The following is a 6,047-nucleotide window of genomic DNA, read 5'->3' as shown; positions in this document are numbered from 1 at the left end:
GCAAAACCATGAACCCACCAGAAGAAAGAAACTCCAGACATATCTGCACATCAGAAGGAACAAACTCCAGACACACCATCTTTAAGAGCTTTAACACTCACAACGAGGGTCCATGGCTTCATTCTCGAAGTCAGCGAGACCAAGAACCCACAAGAAGGAATAAATTCTGGACATATTTTGGAGACCATGAAAGGACTATCACCTATCACCAAGCAGTGAGTACCATCGGACCCCTTTCACTTGCTATTCCGTCCTATTTTTCCTTAGAATTTGGGGGCTAAATACCAGGCACATGTCAGCCAGTGAAAAGCAAATAGCATAGCTACTGGACTAAAGACACAGGTGTCAGATTTTCTGGGAAAGGGCTCTCTAACAACCCCCAACTCTTCAGAGTTGGGAGCATTGGTTTGCCTGGAACCAGCTTCCGCTTTTCCTGTACTTCCAGGCTGAGCTGAGGGTCGACAGAGAGGAAAGCTATTCAGCTCCGGGGTCCCGACAACAAGTTGGTTGACCCTGCGGCCATGGGCAGAACTCTCAAAGTCATGTCGCCCAAGTGAGACTCGCTCATCTATCCTATCTATCCTGACCATTGCCTCCTGGGTCCTAATGCCTGTCAGACAAATTTCCTCTCACGTCTCTTCTCCGAGGCTGGTCCAGCTTCTAAAAACCACTCCCTGTCACTGGTGCTTTTCTAGTTTCTCCTATAAGAATTATTTCTAGTATAAACTTCAGGACTCTGTTCCATTGTTTAGGCACCCAGGCTCACCAATCAGAAAGACATAATTTTTGCCCAAAGCCTTGTTTGGGTTGGGGGGACTATCTGGAATTTTAGGAGCCCTCCAGACTATCAGGCCTAACAAAAGCTATTACTGAAGCTAGGATATGAGGAGCCTCAGAAATGATATCCTTCCTATTCATATGATGAGAAGTGAGGACAAAGGCATCACTCTTCTAACCCTGGAGATCCCTTCCCTCCCTCAGGGTATGGCCCTCCACTTCATTTTTGGGGCATAACACCTTTATAGGACAGGGGTAAGGTCCCGATACTAACAGGAGAATGCTTAGGACTCTTAACAGGTTTTTCAGAATGCATTGGTAAGGGCCACTAAATCCAATTTTTCTTGGTCCTCTTTGTGGTCTAGGAGGACAGGCAAGGGTGCAGGTTTTCGAGAATGTGTCAGTAAGGGCCACTAAATCTGACCTTCCTCAGTCCTCCTTGTGATCTAGGAGGAAAACTAGTGTTTCTGCTGCTAAATCAGTGAGCGCAACTATTCCAATCAGCAGGGTCCAGGGACTGTTGCAGGTTCTTGGGCAAGAGGTATTTCTGCTGCTGTGTCAGTGAGTGCAACTATTCCGATCAGCAGGATCCAGGGACCAATGCGGGTTCTTGGGTAGGGGAGAAACAAACAAACCAAAACCGTGGGCGGTTTTGTCTTTCAGATGGGAAACACTCAGACATCAACAGGCTCACCCTTGAAATGCATCTTAAGCCACTGGGACCAATTTGACCCGCAAACCCTGAAAAAGAGGCAGCTCATTTTTTTCTGCACTACAGCTTGGCCCCAGTATTCTCTCTCTGATGGGGAAAAATGGCCACCTGGGGGAAGTATAAATTACAAAACTATCCTGCAGCTTGACCTTTTCTGTAAGATGGAAGGCAAATGGAGTAAAATACCTTATGTCCAAGCTTTCTTTTCACTGAAGAATACACAACTATACAAAGCTTGCAATTTACATCCCACAGGAGGACCTCTCAGCTTACTCCCATATCCTAGCCTCCCTATAGCTCTCCTTCCTATTAATGATAAGCCTCCTCTAATCTCCCCCACCCAGAAGGAAACAAGCAGAGAAATCTTCAAAACACCACAAAAACCCCCAGACTATTGGTTATGTCCCCCTCAAGCTATAGGGGGAGGGGAATTTGGCCCAACTCGGGTACATGTCCCCCTTCTCCCTCTCTGATTTAAAACAGATCAAGGCAGACCTGGGGAAGCTTTCAGATGGTCCTGATAGGTATATAGATGTCCTAAAGGGTCTAGGGCAAATCTTCTATCTCATTTGGAGAGATGTCATGCTATTGTTAGATCAAACCCTGGCCTTTAATGAAAAGAATGTGGCTTTAGCTGCAGCCTGAGAGTTTGGAGATACCTGGTATTTTAGTCAAGTAAATGATAGAATGACAGCTGAAAAAAGGGACAAATTCCCTACCAGTCAGCAAGCTGTCCCCAGTATGGATCTCCACTGGGACCTTGACTCAGATCATGGGGACTGGAGTCACAAACATCTGTTGACCTGTGTTCTAGAAGGACTAAGGAGAATTAGGAAAAAGCCCATGAATTATTCAATGATGTCCACCATAACTCAGGGAAAGGAAGAAAATCCTTCTGCCTTCCTCAAGTGGCTATGGGAGGCCTTAAGAAAATATACTCCCCTGTCACCTGACTCCCTTGAGGGTCAATTGATCCTAAAAGGTAAGTTTATTTCCCAATCAGCCACAGATATCAGTAGAAAGCTCCAAAAGTGAGCCCTAGGCCCTGAACAAAATCTGGAGGCATAATTAAACCTGGCAACCTCAGTGTTCTATAATAGAGACCAAGAGGAACAGGCCAAAAGGGAAAAGCGAGATCAGAGAAAGGCCACAGCCTTAGCCATGGCCCTCAGACAAACAAACCTTGGTGGTTCAGAGAGGATAGAAAATGGAGCAGGCCAATCACCTAGTAGGGCTTGTTATCAGTGTGGTTTACAAGGACACTTTAAAAAAGATTATCCAACAAGAAACCAGCTGCCCCCTGTCCACTATGCTGAGGCAATCACTGGAAGATGCACTGCCCAAGAGGACAAAGGTGCTCTGGGCCAAAAGCCCCCAACCAGATGATCCAACAACAGGACTGAGAGTGCCCAGGGCAAGCGACAACTCATGTAATCACCCCCACTGAGCCCCGGGTACGTGTAACCATTGAAGGCCAGGAAAATGACTTCCTCCTGGACACTAGCATGGCTTTCTCAGTGTGAAACTCCTGTCCTGGATGACTGTCCTCAAGGTCCATTACCATCCAAGGAATCCTGGGACAGCCTGTAACCAGATATTTCTCCCACCTCCTGAGTTGTAATTGGGAGATTTTGCTATAGACAGTAAGTATGCTTATCTAATCCTACATGCCCATGCTGCAATATGGGAAAAAAGCGAGTTTCTAACCTCTAGGGGAACCCCCATTAAATATCACAAGGAAACCATGGAGTTACTGCATGCAGTGCAAAAACCCAAAGAGGTGGCAGTCTTACACTGCTGAAGCCATCCAAAGGGAAGGAGAGGGGAGAACAGCAGCATAAGCAGCTGGCAGAGGCAGGGAAAGACCAGCAGAGAGTTAGAGAGAGAGAGAAAGAAACAGAGAGAGGAAGAGACAGAGAGACAAAGTCAAAGACAGACAGAAAGGCAGAAAGTCAAAGAGAGAAGGAAAGAGAGGAAGTGACAGACATGAAGTCAGAGAGAAAGAAGAAGTCAAAGAGACAGAAAGAGACAGAAGTAGTAAAGAAGAAACAGTGTACCCTATTCCTTTAAAAGCCAGGGTAAATGTAAAATCTATAATTGATAATTGAAGGTCTTCTCTGTAACCCTATAACACTCCAATACCACCTTGTTGTCAGTGTAAACAAGAGCATAGCCCAAAAGCACTGAGGCCACTGACAACCTGTAGCCTTCCTATCAAAAATTCTTAACCCAGCAGGTTTCCTAACAAGGGATCTATGTCTTAATTAATTGCCATACAAAGGTTCCACCAGACCTAGGAGGAACTCCCTTCAGGACAGGATGATAGATTGTTCCTCCTGGGCAATTAAGGGAAAAAGACACAATGGGTATTCAGTAAGTGATAAGGAAATTCTTGTAGAGGCAGAGTTAGGAAAATTGCCTAACAATTGGTCTGCTCAAATGTGAAAGCTGTTTGCACTCAGCCAAACCTTAAAGTACTTACAGAATCAGGAAGGAGCCACCTATACCAATTCTAAGTTAATATGGACTGAACGAGGTCTTATTAATAGTGAAGAATAATTGAAATCCCAAACTTACAAAGTTTTCAACAAAAGTAAATTTTGCTACCAAAACCACTGAGGCCTAGACCTCCTCACTGCTGAGAAAAGAGGACTCTGCACCTTCTTAGGAGAAAAGTGTTGCTTTTACACTAACCAGTCAGGGATAGTATGAGATGCTGCCCAGTGTTTACAAGAAAAGGTTTCTGAAATCAGACAACACGTTTCAAACTCTTATACCAACCTCTGGAGTTGGGCAACATGGCTTCTCCCCTTTCTAGGTCCTGTGACAGCCATCTTGCTATTACTCACCTTTAGGCCCTGTATTTTTAACCTCCTTGTCAAATTTGTTTCCTGTAGGATCGAGGCCATCAAGCTACAGATGGTCTTACAAATGGAACCCCAAATGAGCTCAACTAACAACTTCTACCAAGGACCCCTGGACCAACCTGCTGGCCCTTTGACTGGCCTAAAGAGTTCCCCTCCGGAGGACACTACAACTGCAGGGCCCCTACTTCGCCCCATCCAGCAGGAAGTAGCTAGAGTGGTCATCACCCAATTCCCAAAAGCAGTTGGGGTGTCCTTTTTAGAGGGGGGATTGAGAGGTGAAGCCAGCTGGACTTCCTGGGTAGAGTGGGGACTTGGAGAACTTTTCTGTCCAGCTAACGGATTGTAAATGCACTCTGTAAAAACTCACCAATCAGTGTTCTGTGTCTAGCTACAAGATAGTAAATGCACCAGTCAGCACTCTGTAAAAATGCACCAATCAGCACTCTGTGTCTAGCTAAAGGATTGTAAATGCACCAATCAGCACTCTGTGTCTAGCTAAAAGATTGTAAATGCACCAATCAGCACTCTGTAAAAATGCACCAATCAGCACTCTGTGTCTAGCTAAAGGATTCCAAACGCACCAACCAGCACTCTGTAAAAATGCACCAATCAGCACTCTGTAAAATGGACCAATCAGCAGGATGTGGGTGGGGCCAAATAAGAGAATAAAAGCAGGCCACCTGAGCCAGCAGCGGCAACCTGCTTGGGTCCCCTTCCACGCTGTGGAAGCTTTGTTCTTTCGCTCTTCACAATAAATCTTGCTGCTGCTCACTCTTTGGGTCCACACTACCTTTATGAGCTGTAACACTCATTGCAAGGGTCCACAGCTTCATTCCTGAACTCAGCAAGATCACAAACCCACCAGAAGGAAGAAACTCCAGACACACCATCTTTAAGAGCTGTAACACTCACCATGAGGGTCTGCGGCTTCATTCTTGAAGTCAGCAAGACCAAGAACCCACAAGAAGGAATAAATTCCAGACACAGAAATACAGTACCAACTACCTTCTTTGTTGCAGTCACCTATAAACTCCAGTACCAAACGCTCCGTTCTTTGATGATTTTAGCGCTTAGCTCTACCACTGCTCCTGTCATAATCCTTGGTGAGCCATTTATTATTGGAAATAAATGTAGTTCCTTGACCTCCTGTCACCTAATGATCTTATACTTTATTCCATTCTGTCATACCCTAAACCTTTTCAGCATTTAGGTAATTTTTATTGTCGAATCAGATTATAGTGACTAGATCATAATTTATTTATTCTCTTCGTGAGTTTTTTATAATTTTTGGCTGTTATGAACAAAGCTGCTCTATGTTATCCCATTGCCTTCTGACTGAACATTGTTTCTGATAAAAAATACTCTATGGTAGGTAGATATCGAAAGATTTCCCCCACCTAACATTATTTCATATTTCTTCTATCACACACTAATCTTGGTAGGGCTAGTGCTGTGAGGAGATTTTGCACATATAAAAGTCCTAAGTCAGTTTATCTTAAAATATGGATATTATCAGGAGAGTTGAACCCATTTACATGAGTTTTCTCAAGCTAGCAGCAGAAGGGGAAGTTAGAGAAATGGGAAGCACTAGAATTCAACACACCATTGCTGACTTAAAGAGGGAGGAAGACTCATGGTAAGGAATGCAGACAGCCCCCAGAAGCTAAGAATAGCCCCAAGGTGACAGCCTT

Source organism: Homo sapiens, chromosome 3, assembly GCF_000001405.40.
Source record: "Homo sapiens chromosome 3, GRCh38.p14 Primary Assembly".
Taxonomy (NCBI): domain Eukaryota; kingdom Metazoa; phylum Chordata; class Mammalia; order Primates; family Hominidae; genus Homo; species Homo sapiens.
This window is presented reverse-complemented; position numbering follows the sequence as displayed.